Genomic DNA, 19288 nt, shown 5'->3' with positions numbered 1-19288 from the left:
AAGTGTCCTCTACCAGAAAATGAGAGCCAGCCCCACAGAAACATCCTTCCCACTCAAACATCTAAACTTAGTGCTCAGATATCCACAAGTTAGTTTTCATTATATTGAGAAAGAAGGGTATATGCTGAGAAGAGAAAACTAAATAAACTAAATGAGAGACTTTATACTTAAAAATTGTATTTAGATGATAAACTTGGCTTTAGTGGCTTACATTTAGAACTAACTGACAGTGAACAGTCCAGAAACTACTAAGTCTGTGGTAAATATACTGTCAATAAAAAGGCTTAAAATTATCGTCTCAATACCTGGCATTCCTCAACTCCTAAAGCAACTTGCAACCTCTGGATCTGCAACCTTCACCCAAGAAAGCAGGTTGTAGAAGCTGTGTTTCTGCCAATGAGGATACACAATTTTATGCCATTTGATGTGAATGTGCAGGATAATAGATAGGGAAGAAGCTACTAGATGGCAAAGCCAGAGACCCTAAAGGATAATAGATAGGTTTGTTTAAAAGCAAACTAATGATAAAGAAGAAGTCTATATGTCAGGTCAGAGAGTCTTCACAATTTCTGCCATTCAGAATTTAATAACTGCTGTGGAAAAGTAACTGCCCCCATCCCATATCTACCCATTTTTTTCAAAATGAGAATTTTCAGGTTGGGAATGTTTATTGAAATAATACAGCTCCTATACCAGTAGTGTATATTAGTTGTGTATGTGTAGGGCAGAAAATATGTTTTAGTTTATAGTTTGAAGAAAATGAAGATTTATCTATCTATCTGGATCTGGTAGAGAGCACTGCACTTCTCCACATTGCCTAGAAATAATGGATTTTAGAGCTGGATGTGGAAATTTAAAATTGCCTCCTTTGTATGTGTGAGTGGGTTTATGTATTGCAAGAAATATATCTGTGGACACTTGTGTGCTTAGAGGAACGGACGTTGGCCAAGCCTGACAATTATTCCCTAATATCTCCAGTTTCTTTCTTCCCTTCAGCAATAATGTCCTAAGTTCTGAGCATATAGCCATCTAACCAAAAAACTCCATTTTCCAGCATCTCTAATAGCTAGGGATAATGCTACCAAGTGACTACATTCTGGACAAAGGGATTTAATGGGAAATGATGTATTCAACTTTTGAGAGCAACTTTTTAAAGATGCTTGCCCTTCACTTTTCATTTTTCTTTGTGAAGAGAACAGGTGTCTGTTAGCTTCATCTTCTTCAGCCAAGTATATGATAACTATATCATAATAAACGTCACAGTAAGTAAGCAAAGACAAGACTATGGACCTTGAGCAGGAAGAGTTATTTACTGAAATCTAGATAGCCTACCTTCATCTGTACTGTTTCATGAGAGAGGAAAAAAAACTATTTCAGTAGTATAATTTAATCTCATTGATATTACAGTTTAGTCTGGGGCCCACCTAATAAGGAAATACCATCATTCTAAGTAATATTAACTATAGTAAATACATTTATTTATCACAAGCTATGTGCCAAGTACTCTATCCAGTGCTTTAAATGAATCATCTGATTCTTTCCCCATTAAAAAACGTACAAGTTTTACACTACAACTTTCCTCCTTGCATGGATAATACAAGCCTGTAGAGTTTAACACTCATGACTTTTATAATGTTCGAAAATTGCCAAAACTTAAAAAAGTGATTAAATTAGTTATAAAACATCATTTTACTAAAATATTTTTGTTATTAAAATAGCCATGAAAATACAAGTACAAATATGACAGAAAGATTTGTTATATTTTGTGGAAAAGGGATTCATATTGGTTCACAGAATATGGATATAATTATCTAAAGCCCAAATCAACTGAAGAAGTCAAGGATGCATAGAAATATACTGAACAAATACATACCATAAAATAAGCAATACATTCTTACAGGCTGTTGAATCCTAGTTAAAAAATACATGAAAAAAACCCATCATTGTGTTTCCTAATACATCTTGATTTTTTAATATTAGTAAACATATTTTAATTTACTTTGTACCCTTAAGTTACTCCAGATAATTAAAGGTGTCTCAGGGAGTTGGCAATTTTTTCCAAAATAAAATAAATTCAAATAAAAATATCTGCTACATTGCCTATAACTCATATTTGAAGGTGGACTTTAAAAACAGTTGATGCTGAATGATGATAGATTTCTAATATTTAGTACCTGTAAGTCATTATTTTTTCATTTATTTGACATATATATTTTTGGAATCTAATGGTTCAGTTTAAAATAGTTTAATAGAGTGTCTTGTGTGTTCTGGGAACTGTGCTAAGTACTAGAGATATAAAGATGAAAAAGAGAGTGTCCTAGTTCTAGAACAGTATATTGTCCAATGGGATCAATTATATTTAAAGAAAAATACATTAAGCAAACATTGGAACTTTGAGCATGTTAACCCTGTATGGACTCTTCATTGATCCTGTTCTAAGACATTACTTATATTATTTCTTTATAAATATTTAGTAACATTAAAATTATAAAGCACATTTATTTTAACAATTTTTTAAAAATGCCTAGACATTCCAGATTATTGTGCCCCTATATCACGTCTTAAATATTGCATTTTAGACATTGGGGAGATAGATAAATAAGATACATTCATGGTAGCAGCTTGCAAAAAATAGCCAGTAATTAAGGCTTAATTCCACAGATAGCAATTAGGCTTAAAAGAATCTGTTTAATAATCCAATGAAGAGAGTAAAAATAAAATGCAAATAATCTGATCTACTTCCCTCAGCAATAAGTACTTTTGAATATTAGAAAGCTTATAATGCTACAACATCATGTTATCTTCATTTACAGATTGAGATACCTAATAGAATTATACAATATGAAGCACTTCATCTTTTTAATATTCAGAGTAGACAATTTAAAAATTCATGAACTAAAAAGTATAGTAAAATGTTAGAATTTTACAAACCTCATCCACCAAAGCAATAAACTGAAACAAGCAAGCAAATAACCAAAAAAACAATTAATATGAACAAAGAGACAACTAAAAATGGCAAATATACTTTGAAAGATATGCATATTTTAGAGTAATCAGATAAATGTAAATTAACATAGAGAAGCTAACCCATCAAACTGTTAGAGATAGCATTAAATTGTTATGAATATGTTGTCAAAAAGGCCCTTCCATGCAGGGTATTTCGGATTAATGGATACAACAATTCTGGAGGACAATTTAAGATGGTTAAAAATATTTAATTTTGAATAAACCCTAGGCCAGTAATTATATTCTTATGAGCTTTCTTAAATGAAAATATTTTCAAAAATACAGACAAGAATATTCATTAAATTGTTTTGTTAATGTTATATTTCTATTGCACAAAGCATATATTATTGAAAAATGAGAAAAAAACAAGCAAACATAATGAAACTGAAAATCACTTGCATTTCCAGAGACAACATTGACATTTTTGTCTATGTTTCATGTATATATTCTGCTTTAAACAAAGCTAGTTTATGCCCTCATACAAGCATACGTATGCACTTGAATGTTGCTTTGGAATTAATATGCTAAAATAGGCTTTTAATAACACTAAAAATTACATGAATAAATTATGCTACATCCATAAGGATTTGTTAGCAGGGCTTATCTTTCAGGTTGTTTCCAAAATTGACTTCTTCATAGCATCTTTTAACTTTTCAAATGTTCTAGCATAAACATATATTCAGTTTTTACTCAAAAAAATGCATGCTATTATAAATGAGAATCTAAAGTATCAATGAACACTTCTCGAGCACTTTGAAGGTCTTCTCTGCTCATACCTCGCTACACCCAGGTTATTTAAAGGCATAATTATAGTAAGTATACAAGACCTCAAAGATTTTTGTATATATATGTTGTGTATATTAATGGTTAGTAAGATATCTGTAATTTGTGCTTTTTCTAACTGAATTTCTATAAATCTATTTAACATTTGCTTAAAATTTGAAATCACAGGCAGCTTGGAAATGTAGAAAAATGTAAATATACCTTCTCCTTCATAGAAACAAAATTATGTAATGAATGTTTGGTGCCACTTTATGGATAAAACAAATACATTGATAAGTTTTTTTTATTATTGAACTTGATTCATTATACTCATCCCCCTCTTTGTTTGTTTTTTGAGGCAAAATCTCTCTCTGTCACCCAGGCTGGAGTGCAGTGATGCGATCTGGGCTCACTGCAACCTCCGCCTCCAGGATTTAGGTGATTCCCCTACCCCAGCCTCCTGAGTAGCTGAGATTACAAACATGTGCCACAAATGTGTCATCATGCCTGGCTAATTTTTGTATTTTTCGCAAAAATACAAAAATAATTTTGTATTTTTCACCATGTTGGCCAGGCTGGTGGTCTCGAACTCCTGACCTCAGGTGTTCTGCTGCCTCAGCCTCCCAAAGTGCTGGGATTACAGGCATGAGCCACCACACCCAGCCTTACTCAATGCATATTTATCCATTGAATGAATAAGCCAATATGTTTTATTTTGTTTCTTTCTTTTTTTTTCCCAGAAGGTAAACATTATATTTTAGGAGGAAAGGTTGAGTTAAATTTTTGTAAATAACTAAAAGAGTTTCCATGTTTAAACCATTAAAATGGCTCATTTGTAATTTTGGAGACAAATAAAAAAAAATTCATTTTCCAGAATAATTTCTGAAAATATTTTTACTTCGGTCATTCTTTAAAATTTCAGAACTATATCTCTTATAATAAAACACAAGAAGAAAATAAATGTTTATGTTATGAACACTGAATTTGGAAATTGAGGCCAATAAATCATTAAAAAAATAAAAGGACGTAAAAAGAATAAAAAATATAGTGCCAGTACAAAGACCTTAACACTAAAAATTGATTAAAATATATCAAGTACAGTGATAAGTGATAACTTATTTCTGTGTTTTTAAAATGTACTTTACAACTACTTAATGCACCATAGAATCATTTTAGTGTGTCTCAAGCAGTATTTTTAATAGAATAAAATACATATTTCAGAGTTTATTACCTTTAATCAGATTAGGCATTATTTTGTGTGGCTTTTGTTTTAATTTTATATTATTATTAGTCTGTGTGTGTGCCTCTATTCTTAATGTACTTTTTACAATGGGACATGGGTGAAATATTTGAAAATCATTGTTGTATCTCATTTAATATCACAACAAACTTATGTATTAAGTACACTTTCCAATGCCAGTTTGCAAAATGAAAATTAAGTTTCAGTGTGGTAAGCACTTTTTTCCACATTTATATTTGGGAAAAGTAGCAGAAGCAAGTCTTGAACCTGATATCTTGAGCATATTAGAGTTCTGTGATTTAGATTTTTCTTTTTCTATATATCTTCTGTTTTAAAAACTTCTTGGTTCTTAATATCTGTCTCTCCCTACCTCCATGTGTCTCCCTCCAATAAAGCTGGTTCAAATATGTAACCAGCTGGAGTTAAAGAAGGAAGATATCATTATAAGGTTTAAAATTAAATAAACCCATAGTTGTAATAGTGCTCACCAATAGGAAGCCCCCCTCTGCTGTCATCCACCAGGAAGACCCTCAGCCCCCAGGAAGACCCTACACAAAAGCTAAAAGCATTTCCCAGAACAAATGGGACAACTGTCCCCAAATTCCCAAATAAACGCATCAACCTCAACCAAAGGGAGGTCAATCAAAGAAACACCAATACTCAATCAACCAAAGGAATATCAACTGTCTTATATTAGGAAGCGGCTGTTTGGGCCAATTTGAAACTTTATGGGAGAAGCCCAGTGAATTTATGCAATGTCTGTAGTGGATTTAGTTGAAATTTCCTCAGGAACGTGTTTTTAAAAAGTTTACCTCTTAGCATTTTTGTGATTTGGGTTAAGGGCAAGAATAGGCAAGGGTGTTAAAAAAATGGACAATGGGTGACGGTCCATTTCAAGAATTATTTCCTCTTTTTGAGGAAAGGAATTGGCAGCATTATATTTTTCTAAGAAGTTCTTTCAACAAAGTGAGCTGGGCCAACAGAACTAGTAAGGAAAAATAATGACAAAGTTATGCCAGGACTATTAGATTTCTATGAATTTCATACAATTTCTGAAATATCCATAAAATATAATTTTAAAAGATTTAACATCACTTTGTTATTTGACAATACTTCCCATACAATTCAACACATCAAACAAGCTTGATTAACTTAACATCTCTGCATTATGAGGGATATATCCTTTGAGGCTCTCCACGGGCCGTACTGGAAAATCCCAAAGTCAATTCTAGGTCAAAAATACTTAATTTAGAATTCAATTTGGGGAAGTTTGTCAAATATATAAAAGATTGAAAGTGCTTGATCACAATAAGATCACAGTTCGCTATGAAATAATAGACATTCATTTAACCAGAGTGATAATTAAATATCTAAAGCTGCGTAATTGTCGAAAAAATTCTAGATCTTTACTTAGGAAGATTGAGTCTTCTCTCTTAATTGGGAGACCTAATAAAGCTCTGTTTCCCATTAAAAGCAGATCATTTCTCTAACGAAATCTTGTTGTTGTAATATAGGGAACCAAATTCTAATTTTTTATAGTCATATTTGACATTAATGTTCAGTTCTCAGAAAACTTAATAATTCCCTTTTAATTTTAGCCAACATATTCATACACAAAATTTCACTGACATAATTCATATTCCATAAACCTTCTACAACCCTCTTATCCATTCAATTTTATCTATATTATTCCTTTTTTCTTCAGAAATAACTTTTAAACAACCTCAAAACTAGGCAAAATTACTTTTTTTTTTTACAAAAACACATCCTTCACACCTTAGAGTTTCACCCACCAAAAAAGTTTTGCTCTCTTCAAATAAGAAGTTATTATCTTTGGTTTTAATTACCACATATTAATTCTAATTTGTAATTAATTTCTAGTGAAAACCTAAAATGCAAGCAATTTTGAACTGTTTTATATCAGCATTGTATAGATGAACACCATTTTGTAATTTATTAGAAACACATCTCCTCATAATACAACCTTTTTCATGTTTATTACAGACACAAGTACACTTAACCTCTCCATACTTCATAAAAACAGAATATACCACTAGATGAATGTATTCATTATCAAACATTAAACTGTGAGACCAGCACTACGTTTTGGTAGTAGATAAACTGCAACAAAATTGACTGACATGAAGTGTTCAATCCAACTATTTGTTCCTTTGCAGATTATAATGAGTCGACAATACTTTTTGTGCATAGTGTGTTACAGGATTTACTAATTTTCTGTATTTTCTTGTTTGTACTATGTGTATATATCTGTTTCTTCTATGCCATTCCATGAGGGGAAGAACGACATCTATAGAACCTTGTTTGCCATTATATCCTTGGCCCTATAGTAAAAACACATTTTACTATGTAAAATGTGTTATATATAGTAGATTGTCAAATACTTGTTAAACAAATGTGGTCATGCATTAATTATCAGCCTCAGCCAACTCACAGTTTCATTGCTGAATGCTTTCCAGTTAGTCAAGACACATTCTACATTGTGTCAATGAAAGCAATGAATAGCTGTTTTCTCTTCAGAACAATTTCTAGTAGCTTACTTCAATTATTAAAGGTAATCAGGAAATTTCCCACTAGTCAGAATCACAAGTATCCTGTCCTCATCAGACACTTCTCCAATATACAACAAAATCAGAATGGTAGAGGAGCAAGTTTCAGTATTTTAACTGACTTAAGCATGATTTAGACATTTCATAAATGTCACTTAATACAACATAACTTTAAAACCTCAAGTAACTGAAACAATCCCTGAAACTATGAGAAACTCATCTACAAATTGTCATCCCGTTTTTATTCACCTAACTTATTCATTCTTAATGATTATGCTTGAGTCACTCATTAAACAAAGTGAGCCAATGAAAAATTTCAAGAACTACTACTCCAAAATATATCACTTTGCTATATTGATTACCAATAAACTAATAGATAAGCAAGGTGAGGTTTTTTGAATTCCTTTGTCTGTCTAAAGAAAGAGCCTCCAAGGTACTCAACTGATATCAATCCTCTGAAAATTAACTCTTCGCTGGAGGGGAGACTTTCTCACACCCAGACAGATGTTGTCACAAATCATTTATACTTCTAGGGCCCATTCATCTTCCCCCCCTCCCCCAAAGAAAACCACTTTGTTTTCTTCACCTCACTTACCATTTTTACTCATTTTAGCAAGGGGGCTGAATTAAGAGACTCTTTTCGTTTTCTTAATTGACCTACATAATTATCGACCTACATAATTATTGCCCTAAATGATTATTAGCTTGGTTGTTAATTGTAATCAGATTTCAGGCCTAAACACCATTACCTGCTGAGACAAAGAAAGGCATGAGTAGGAAGCCTCATTCAGACAAAATGGTTAAAGGTGAGACATGTTTATACAGATATAAGTCTTTTTACCTTCTCTATGGTAAAAGCCTCTCCTGATTTAGCCCTTCCTCCTCCCAGATGAAAAGTGAAAGAAACGTCCATAAAATGGAGACTTCGGCCAGGCGCAGTGGCTCACGCCTGTAATCCCAGCACTTTGGGAGGTCGAGGCGGGCATCCCAGCACTGTGGGAGGTCGAGGCGGGCGGATCACTAGGTCAGGAGATCGAGACCATCCTGGCTAACACGGTGAAACCCCGTCTCTACTAAAAATACAAAAAAAGTAGCCGGGGGTGGTGGCGGGCGCCTGTAATCCCAGCTACTCTAGAGGCTGAGGAGGAAGAATGGCGTGAACCCAGGAGGCGGAGCTTGCAGCGAGCCGAGATGGCGCCATTGCACTGCAGCCTGGGCGACAGAGGGAGACTCTGTCTCAAAAAAAAACAAAAAACGGAGACTTCTTCCACCAGTGTGAGTTTTCTTCTCTAAAGATAGTTTCAATATAACTAAAGATAGGCAGCTTCTTAACCCAGATTGTATTTTTTAAGCTAGATTTCTGAGTTCAGGGCAAAGTTCAGTAACAAATGGGGTAGATGAAGCAACTTTAAAACTAGGCCAAGATAGCTTTCACTGCTGTTCTGAGCTCAAGATTTTAACTTAAAGAAGCAAACCCCATTGATCTAAGGGCTCACTCTGTAATTTTTTTTTTCCTTTTGTGTTTTAGTCTTTTTTAAAGCCTCTGTGTTCTCATTTTAACTATATATTCCGTTGTTTCGATGGATTTTTTTATCCTTCTTTTTCTAATATACCCTGTAAATAAACAATTTCACCCAATTTAAAACTTCTCTCATTATGGCTACTGTAATACCAAATTACCTTAGGTGAGGTCCATCTATTTCTCTTACACACACACACACACACACACACACACACACACGTGCTGGGGATTTTTATACATAAAATTTTCAAGAGTTCCAAATGGAAGAGTACCAGACCATGGACTCTGTCCAGTTTTTTTCTGATCCAGGTAGTCACCACAAACCACTACACATCACCTAAAGGTGATATGGGCTCTGATAGCACACACAAACCCTGGAAGCAGTTCCAGAAGATTCTAGACTTCCTGGATCCAAATGAACCTATTATTATGTCTTCCAGTTAACTTTATCTAACTACTGAACCCACTTCAGTTTTTGCTGCAACTTCCAAGTCAAGTCTGGATCAAAAGTTTACCCAAACAAAATAAGATAGCTCAAAACATATCTGTGGAGCTTTGGAAGCCGTGAGAGAATTTACCCATAATCTCCATAAGAAGCAAGAAAATAGTGACCACAGTGGGTTCAGTGAGTATCTGTGCTTGGTTAATTGATGCTCCTGGGGTCACTGAAACTCTTATTCAGATCCTGCCAACTACAGCAAATATGGTAAAGAGAAAAAAACTTAGACAAGTTTACATTTTAACTGAGTTTATTTGGGCACAGAAAAACAAAACAGAACAGAGTGAAACAGAAATGATTTGATAATCAGACAGTCCTCTGAACCAAAGCAAGTTTAGAGAACTCCAACCAATAACATGATCTAATAGCATTTATAGAAAATGCAAGTGTAGTATAGAGACAACCTAATTGGTTACAGCTTAATTGGTTAATTGGCTACACAACCTCTTACAATTAATGAAAGCTCAACTACTGTAGTTAAAATCCATATTGGGTTGGTCTGTTAGGCTGAGTTTAGTGGCCTAGTCCAAAGCAATGACCTCTCATACATTTTATTTAACAATGTTAAGGTTTAAAATTTATTTTCAGTTAATTTTCATTTGCATGTAAGATGTGGTTTGGAGATTAATTTTTTGTTTTGTGGGTTTGTTAGATGTTATCCATTGGTCCTAGAACCATACTGCTTTTGAAAAGACTATTTATTGTCCACTGAAGTGCATTTTCACTTTTGTCAAATATCAACTGACCATATATAGGTCTAGTTCTGAACTCTGTGTTCTCTTCCATTAATTTATTTGTCTCTCCTTGTCACAGTACCATATTTTTTTGATTATTGTAACTTTATAATAAATCATCCAACTTTGTTATTTTCTCAAGATGCTTTTGACTGTTCTAGGTCCTTCGCATTTCAATATGAATGTAAATTGATTAATTCCTTTTTAAAAAAAGGCTGCAAGAATTTTTATTGGAAAATTCTATACTATAGATAGTATAGAATCGATACATCACTTTACAAAGAATTGAAATAAATATATTGAGTTTCTTGGATCATGAACATTGTATATCTCTGGATTTATTTAGGTTTCCTATAATTTTTTAAAACAATGTTTTATAGGTTTCAGTGCATAGGTCTTAGTAATTCTTTCTCTAATTTATTCCAAAACTTCTAAATATTTGATGTTACTGTAACTGGAGCCTCTTTCATTCCTGATATTTGTAATTTGTTTCTTCTCTCTCTCTTTTTCTCTCATAAGTCTGGCTAGAGGTTAATCAACTTTATGAATTTTCTAAAAAAAATCAACTTTTATTTACAATGTGTTTGTTTATTTTGTTTTGCGCATCACTTGTTTCCACTATGGTCTTTATTATTTCCTTTCATTCGTGTGCTTTGTGGTTTATCTGCTGTTGTCTTCCTTGTTTCTCAAGGAAATAGCTGTGCACATTGATTTGACATTTATTATCTTCTAATTTAGATGTTTACTACTAGAAATTTTCCTCTAAGTGTAGCTGCATCCAACAAATTAGATAGGTTGTTTTTTCATTTTCATTAAGTTTAAAAAACATTTTTTAAATGTCAACTTTTAGATATGGGGAGTACGTGTGCAGATTTGTTACACGAGACTACTGTGTGATAGGGAGGTTTGAAGTATGGATCTGACTACACTGGTAGTAAGAGTAGTACATAATAGGTAGTTTTTTAACCTACATCCCTTCACTCTCTAGTAGTCCACAGTGTCTATTGTTCCTATATTTGTATCCATGTGTGCTCAATTCTTAGCTCCCACTTACAAATAAAAACATGCGGTATTTGAGTTTCGGTCCCTGTGTTAATTTTCTTAGGACTATGGACTCCTGCATCATTAATTTTGCTGCAAAATACATTATTTCATTCTTTTTTATGGCTGTGTAATATTCCATGGTATATATGTACCTTATTTTCTTTATCCAATCTACCACTGATGGGCAGCTAGGTTAATTCCATGTTTTTGCTATTGTGAATAGTACAGCTATGAACATATAAGTTCATGTGTCTTTTTTTGGTAGAATGATTTATTTTCTTTTGCATTATACCTAGTAATCTATTTTTTTGATGAAATCATATCTCTGATTTCAGTTCTTTGAAAAATCCCCAGATTGCTCTCCACAGTGGCTAGACTAATTTACATCCCCATCAACAGCATATAAATGTCCCCTTTTCTCCACAGCCTCACCAGCATCTGTTGTTTTTGACCTTTTAATAAAAAGTCATTCTGATTGGTGTGCGATGGTATCACATTGTGGTTTTGATTTTCATTTCTCTGATAATTAGCGATGCTGAACTTTTTTTTATATGTTTGTTGGCCACTTTTATGTCTTCATTTGAGAAGTGTCTGTTTATATCCTTTGCCCATTTTATAATGGGGTTATTTGGTTTTTGCTTGTTGATTTAAGTTGCCTGCAGATTCTGGGTATTAGGATTTTGTCAGATGCATAGTTTGTAAATATCTTCTTCCATTCTGTAGGCTGTCTGTTTGCTCTGTTGATATTTTCTTTTCCTGTGCAGAATTGTGTTAGTTTAATTAGATCCCGCTTGTCTATACTTGTCTTTGTTGCAATTGCTTTTGGCTACTTAGCCAAAAATTCCTTACAAAGGCCAATGTTGAGAAGAGTATTTCCTAGGTTGTCTTCCAGGATTTTTATAGTTTGAGGTCTTGCATTTAATTCTTTAATCCATTTTGAGTTTAATTTTTGTATATAGTGAAAGGTAGGGGTTCAACTTCGATCTTCTGTATATGGCTAGCCAATTATCCCAGCACCATTTATTGAATAGGAAGTCCTTTCCTCATTGCTTGCTTTTGTTGGGCTTGTTGAAGATCATATAGTCCAGATGTATGACCTTATTTCTGGGCTCTGTATTCTGTTCCATTAGTCTATGTGTCTGTTTTTCTGCCAGTACCAAGCTGTTATGGTTACTGTGGCTTTATAGCATAGTTGAAGTCGTGTAATGTGATGCTTCTAGCTTTGTTTCCTTTGCCTAGATTTGCCTTGGCTATTTGGACACTTTTTTTTTTTTTTGACTCCATATGAATTTTGGAATAGTTTTTTCTAACTTTGTGAAGAATGATGTTGGTAGTTTGATAGAAATAGAATTGAATCTGTAACTTGCTATGGGCAGTATGGCCATTTTTATTATATGGATTCTTTCAATCCATGAGCATAGAATGTTTTCTCATTTATTTGCATTGTCTCTGATTTCTTTCACAGTGTTTTGTATTTCTCCTTGTAGAGATTTTTCGCCTCCTTAGTTGGCTGTATTCCTAGGTATTTCCTTTTCTTTGTGGCTATTGTGAGATTGTGTTCTTGATTTTACTCTCAGCCTCGACGTTGTTGGTGTATAGAAATGCTACTAATTTTTTTACATTGATGTTGTATCCTAAAACTTTACTAATACTGTTTATCAATTCTAGTAGTCATTTTCACAATATTGATTCTACTCATCAATGAGCATGGGTTGTGTTTCCATTACTTTGTGTCATCTATGATTTCTTTCTGCAGTGTTTTGTAGTTTTCCTTGTAGAGGTCTTTCACCTCCTTGGTTAGGTAGATTCCTAAATATTTTATTTTTTTACAGGTATCGTAAAAGCAGTTGAGTTCTTGATTTGATTCTCCACTTGATCGCTGTTGGTGTACAGAAGATCTACTAATTTGCATACATTAATTTTGTATCTGGAAAATTTGCTGAATTCTTCTATCAGTTCTAGGAGCGTTCTGGAGGAGTCTTTGGATTTTGAGGTAAATAATCATATCATCAACAAACAGTGACAGTTTGACTTCTTTGCTGATTTGGACGCCCTTTATTTCTTTCTCTTGTCTGATTGCTCTGGCTAGGACTTTCGCTACTATGATGAAGAGGAGTGGTGAGAGTGGGCATCCTTGTCTTGTTCCAGTTCTCAGAGAGAATGCTTTCAACTTTTCCCCAATCAATATTATGTTGGCTGTGAGTTTGTTATAGATGGCTTTTATTACATTGAGGTATGTCCCTTGTATGCCGACTTTGCTGAGAGTTTTAATCATAAAGGGATTTGAATTTAGTTGAATGCATTTTCTACATCTATTGAGATGATCATATGATTTTTGTTTTTAGTTCTGTTTATGTTGTGTATCACATTTATTGACTTAATGTATGTTAAACCATCCCTGCATCCCTGGCATGAAACCCACTTGATCATGGTAGATTATCTTTTTGGTATGTTGTTGGATTCAGTTAGCTAGTATTTTGTTAAGGATTTTAGCATCTATATTCATCAGGGATATCGGTCTGTGGTTTTCTTTTTTGATTATGTCATTTCCTGGTTTTGGTATTAGGGTGATGCTGGCTTCATAGAATGAATTAGGGAGGGTTTCCTCTTTATCCTGTGGAATAGTGTCAATAGGATTCATACCAATTCTTTGAATGTCTGGTAGAATTTTGCTGTGAATACATCTGGTCCTGGACTGTTTTTAGTTGCTAATTTTTAAATTACCATTTCAATCTTGCTGCCTGTTATTGGTCGGTTCAGGGCATTTAATTCTCCCTGGTTTAAGCTAGGAGGGTTGTATCCAGGAATTTATTCATCTCTTCCAGGTTTTCTAGTTTATGCATGCAAAGGTGTTCATAGTAGCATTAATAATCTTTTGTATTTCTGTGGTGTCAGTTGTAATATCTCCTGTTTCATGTCTTATTGAGCTTATTTGGATTTTCTCTCTTCTTTTCTTGGTTAATCTTGCTAATGGTCTATCAATTTTATTTATCTTTTTAAAGAACCAGCTGTTTAATTTATCTTTTGTATTGTTTTTGTTTGTTAGTTTCAATTTCATTTAGTTCTGCTTTGATCTTGGTTATTTCCTTTCTTCTGCTGGGTTTGGGTTTGGTTTGTTCTTGTTTCTCTAGTTCCTTGAGGTGTGACCTTAGATTGTCAGTTTGTGCTCTTTCAGTCATTTTGATATAGGCATTTAGAGCTTTGAACTTTCCTCTTAGAACTACATTTGCTGTATCCTAGAGGTTTTGATGGGTTGTGACACTGTTGTCATTCAGTTTGAAGAATTTTTAAATTTTCATCTTGATTTCATTTTTGACTCAATGATCATTCAGAAGCAGGTTATTTAATTTCCATGTATTTGCATGGTTTTGAAGCTTCCTGCTAGAGTTGACTTCCAATTTTATTCCACTGTGGTTTGAAAGAGTGCTTGATGTAATTTCAATTTCCTTAAATTTATTGAATCTCATTTTGTGGCCTATCATATAGTCTATCTTGAAGAAAGTTCCATGAACTGTTGAATAGAATGTGGATTCTGTGTTTGTTGGAATGATTGTTCTGTATATATCTGTTAAGCCCATTTTTTCCAAGGCATAGTTTAAATTCATTGTTTCTTTGTTGACTTTCTGTTTTGATGACCTGTCTAGTGCTGTCAGTGGAGTATTGATGTCCCCTACTGTTATTATGTTGGTGTCTATCCCATTTCTTAGGTCTATTAGTAATTGTTTTAGAAATTTGGGAGATCCAGGGTTAGGTGCATATACGTTTAGGACTGTGACATTTTCCTGTTGGACAAGGCCTTTTGCCATTATATTATGTCCCTCTTTGTCTTTTTGAACTGCTGTTGCTTTAAAGTTTCTTTTGTCTGATACAAGAATGCTACTACTGCTCACTTTTGGTGTCCATTTGCATGAAATGACTTTTTCCGCCGCTTTACTTTCATTTTATGAGTTCTTATGTGTTAAGTGAGTCTCTTGAAGGCAGCAGATGGTTGGTTAGTGAATTATTATCCATTCTGCAGTTCTGTATATTTTAAGTGGAGTATTTAGGCTATTTACATTCAATGCTAGTATTGAGATGTGAGGTGCCATTGCATTCATCATGCTATTTGTTGCCTGTGCACCTTGGTTATTTTTTTAATTGTATTTTTGTTTTATAGGTCTGTGAGATTTTTGCTTTAAAAAGGTTCTGTTTCGATGTGTTTCCAGGGTTTGTTTCAAGATTTAGAGCTCTTTTTAGCAGTTCTTGTAGTGGTGGCTTGGTAGTGGCAAATTCTCCAGCATTTGTTTGACCGAAAAAGACTGTATCTTTCCTTAATATATGATGCTCAGTTTCACTGGATGCAAAATTCTTGGCTGCTAATTGTGTTTGAAGAGACTGAAGATTGGATCCCAGTCCCTTCTAGTTTGTAGGGTTTCTGCTGAGAAATCTGCTCTTAATCAGATAGATTTTCCTTTATAGGTTACCTGGTGATTTTGTCTCACAGCTCTTAAGATTCTTTCCTTCATCTTAACTTTAGATAACCTGATGACAATGTGCCTAAGCAATGATCTTTTTGTGATTAATTTCCCATGTTTTCTTTGTGCTTCTTACATTTTGATGTTTAGGTCTCTAGCAAGGCTGGGTATAAGGGAAGCTTTTCTTGATTCTTCACCCAAATATTGAGAGGTGAAGCCAGCTGGGCTTCTGGGTCAGGTGGGGACTTGGAGAACTTTTCTGTCTAGCTAGAGGACTGTAAACATACCAATCAGCACTCTGTGTCTAGCTAAAGGATTGTAAATGCATCAATCAGCACTCTGTAAAAATGCACTAATCAGCTCTCTGTGTTTAGCTAAAGGATTGTAAACGCACCAAACAGCACTCTGTAAAAACGCACCAATCAGCACTCTGTGTCTAGCTAAAGGATTGTAAACGCACCAATCAGCACTCTGTAAAATGGACCAATAAGCACTCTGTAAAATGGACCAATCAGTACTCTGTAAAATGGACCAATCAGCAGGACGTGGGTGGGGACAAATAAGGGAATAAAAGCTGGCCACCCCAGCCAGTAGTGGCAACCCACTCAGGTCCCCTTCCATGCTGTGGAAGCTTTGTTCTTTCGCTCTTTACAATAAATCTTGCTGCTGCTCACTCTTTGGGTCTCCACTAACTTTATGAGCTGCAACACTCAACACGAGGGTCTGTGGCTTCATTCCTGAAGTCAGCGAGACCATGAATGCACTGGGAGAAACAAACAACTCCAGACACACCACCTTTAAGAGCTGTAACACTCACTGTGAAGGTCTGCGGCTTCACTCTTGAAGTCAGCGAGACCACGAACCCACCGGAAGGAATAAATTCTGGACACAATATGTTTCCCAAATTTTTGGATTTCTTTCTTCCTCAGGAATACAAATTATTCTTAGGCTTGGTCATTTAACATAATCCCAGACTTCTTGGAGGCTTTGTTTATATTTTCTTACTTTTTTTCTTTGTCTTTGTTGGATTGGGTTAATTAAATGATCTTGTCTTCAAGCTGTGAATTTGTTTCTTCTACTTGTTCGATTTCTATTGCTGAGACTTTCCAGAGCATTTTGCATTGCTATAAGTGTGTCTGATGTTTCTTGAAGTTTCAATTGTTTTATATTTATGCTATCTATGTAATTGAATATTTCTCCCTTCACTTATTGTATCATTTTTTGGATTTCCTTGCATTGGAGTTTGCCTTTTTCTGGTGCCTCCCTGATTAGCTTAATAACTAACTTCCTGTATTCATTTTCAGGCAAAGCAGGTATTTCTTCTTCGTTTAGATCCATTGATAGTGAGCTAGTGTGATTTTTTGGGAGTGTTATAGAGCCTTATTTTGTTATATTACCAGAGTTGGTTTTTTGGTTTCTTCTCATTTGTATAGGCTCTGCCAGAGAGAAGGTCCAGGGCTGAAGATTGTTGTTCTCATTGTTTTGTCTTATGGGGTGTTCCCTTGATGTAATACTTTCCCCATTTTCCTATAGATGTGGCTTCCTGAGGGCTGAACTGTAATGATTTGTTATCTGTGTTCTGGATCTAGCCACCCAGAAAGTCTACCAGACTGAAGGCTGGTAATGGGGGTTTTCTGCAGAGTCCTGTAATATGAACCATATATGGGTCTCTCAGATGTGGTTACCAGCACTTGTTCTGATGGAGGTGACAGGGGAGTGACCTGGACTCTGTGAGAGTTCTTAGCTTTGGTGGTTTAGTGCTCTATTTTTGTTCTGGTTGGCATCCTGCCAGGATGTGGTGCTTTCCAGAGAGCATCAGCTGTGGTAGTATGGAGAGGAACTGGTGGTGGGCAGGGCCCTAGAACTCCCAAGAGTATACGCCCTGTGTGTTCAGTTACCAGGGGAGGTAGGAAAGGCCTATCAGGTTGGGGGGCAGGGCTAGGTATGTCTGAGCTCAGCCTCTCCTTGGGCGGGTCTTGCTGTGGCTGCTGTGGGGGATGGGGGTGAAGTTCCCAGGTCAATGGAGTTATGTACCTTGAAGGATTATGGCTGCCTCTACTGAGTCATGCAGGTTGTCAGTGAAGTAGGGGAAAGGTGGCAGTCACAGACCTCACCCAGCTCCCACACAATCCAAAGGGCCAATCTCCTCCCACTGTGCCCCCCAACAGCATTGAGTCTGTTTCCAGGCAGTGGGAAAGCAGGGTTGAGAACTTGCCCCAGGCTACCCACCTTCCAGCTACAAAAGAAAGTAGGGTTTTCGTTCTTTCCCTGCCTTTGGAGTCTGCACACAGGATTCACACCCTCCCCCGAGTTCTGGCCAGGAGGCTTCTCACCCTGTTCAAATTGTTATAAAGTTCAGCTGGAGACTTCCGTCTTCCTGTGGCATTTTTCCTGCCTCTCTGGCTGCCCTCCTGAAGGATTCCTCTGGTGCCAGGCAGGAATGGCCTGCTTGGGGACCCAGCGAGTTCATAAGACCTTTTCCGCTGCTTCCTCTACTCCTGTATTTTGCTCAGCTCTCTAAATTGACTCAGCTACAGGTAAGGTTAGAATCTTCTCCCATAAACTAGACCTTCAGTTTCCCCAGTGGGGGTGTGTGTTCCGGGGTGGAGGATCTCCCTTCCCACTTCCACAGTTTGGACACTCACAGTATTTGGGGTGTGTCCCATGTCCTGCAGGAGCAATCCACTTCCTTCAGAGGGTCTGTGGGTCCTCTTGGGTTTTCTGATTTATTCCTGCAGTCATTCTGGAGCTAAAATTCATGATGTGGGTCTCCACACACTATTCTGTCTGTCCGAGTTGAAGCTGCAATCTTGTCCTGCCTCCCGTTTGCCATGGTCCTCTTATTTTATTTATAAGTAATCTGAATTACTTCTACATAATTAGTAAGACTATAAAATATAAATTATACATAATGGAATATTATTTAGGTTAAAAAAATCTGCCATTTGCCACAACGTGGTTGGACCTGGAGAATATTATGCTAAGTGAAGTAAGCCAGACATAGAAAGATAAATGTTTCATGATCTCAATTAATACGTGAACTATTTTTTTAAAAAATAGCTCAAGTACGTAGAGGTAGAGAATGAAACAGTGGTTACCATGGCATGAGGGGGAGGAAATGTAGAGGTGTAGGTCAAATGCATAGAGGAGTCCCAGAGAAATGGGTTGCCACATCCACAGTGAAATGCAAGGGGTTTTATAGATGCCTGTTGAGGAGGTGGTGTCTGATTTACATAGGGCATGGAAGACTGGTTGTACCAGGTGTGTCATTTGCATAGGCCATGAAAACTGGTTAGGACTAGGTGTGCCATTTGGCTAGGGCACAAATTTCTGGTAGTCCCCACCCTAATCTCTTATTATGTAGGTAGGTTGTCTGCCTGCCCTGTGCCATGTTGCCTATTCCTTTACTGTACAAGTGGTAACAACAACAAAAAAAGGAAGTTGGAGCCTCCATGTTGGA

At 35.5% G+C, this 19288-nt stretch overlaps 1 annotated feature.

The window, feature by feature from the left end:
* Positions 17290-18489: an enhancer, noted in NCBI's record as "CDK7 strongly-dependent group 2 enhancer chr14:44271803-44273002 (GRCh37/hg19 assembly coordinates)". NCBI's record gives its function as "activates an origin of replication core promoter dependent on BRD2, BRD4, P300/CBP, MED14 and CDK7 cofactors, with strong dependence on CDK7, by STARR-seq in HCT116 cells {active_cell/tissue: HCT116}" and the evidence as "EXISTENCE:reporter gene assay evidence [ECO:0000049][PMID:35650434]".

Source organism: Homo sapiens, chromosome 14 (assembly GCF_000001405.40).
Source record: "Homo sapiens chromosome 14, GRCh38.p14 Primary Assembly".
In the NCBI taxonomy this organism is placed as follows: domain Eukaryota; kingdom Metazoa; phylum Chordata; class Mammalia; order Primates; family Hominidae; genus Homo; species Homo sapiens.
Note: the sequence above shows the minus strand (reverse complement) of the source record. Positions and strands in the feature narration are given on the sequence as shown.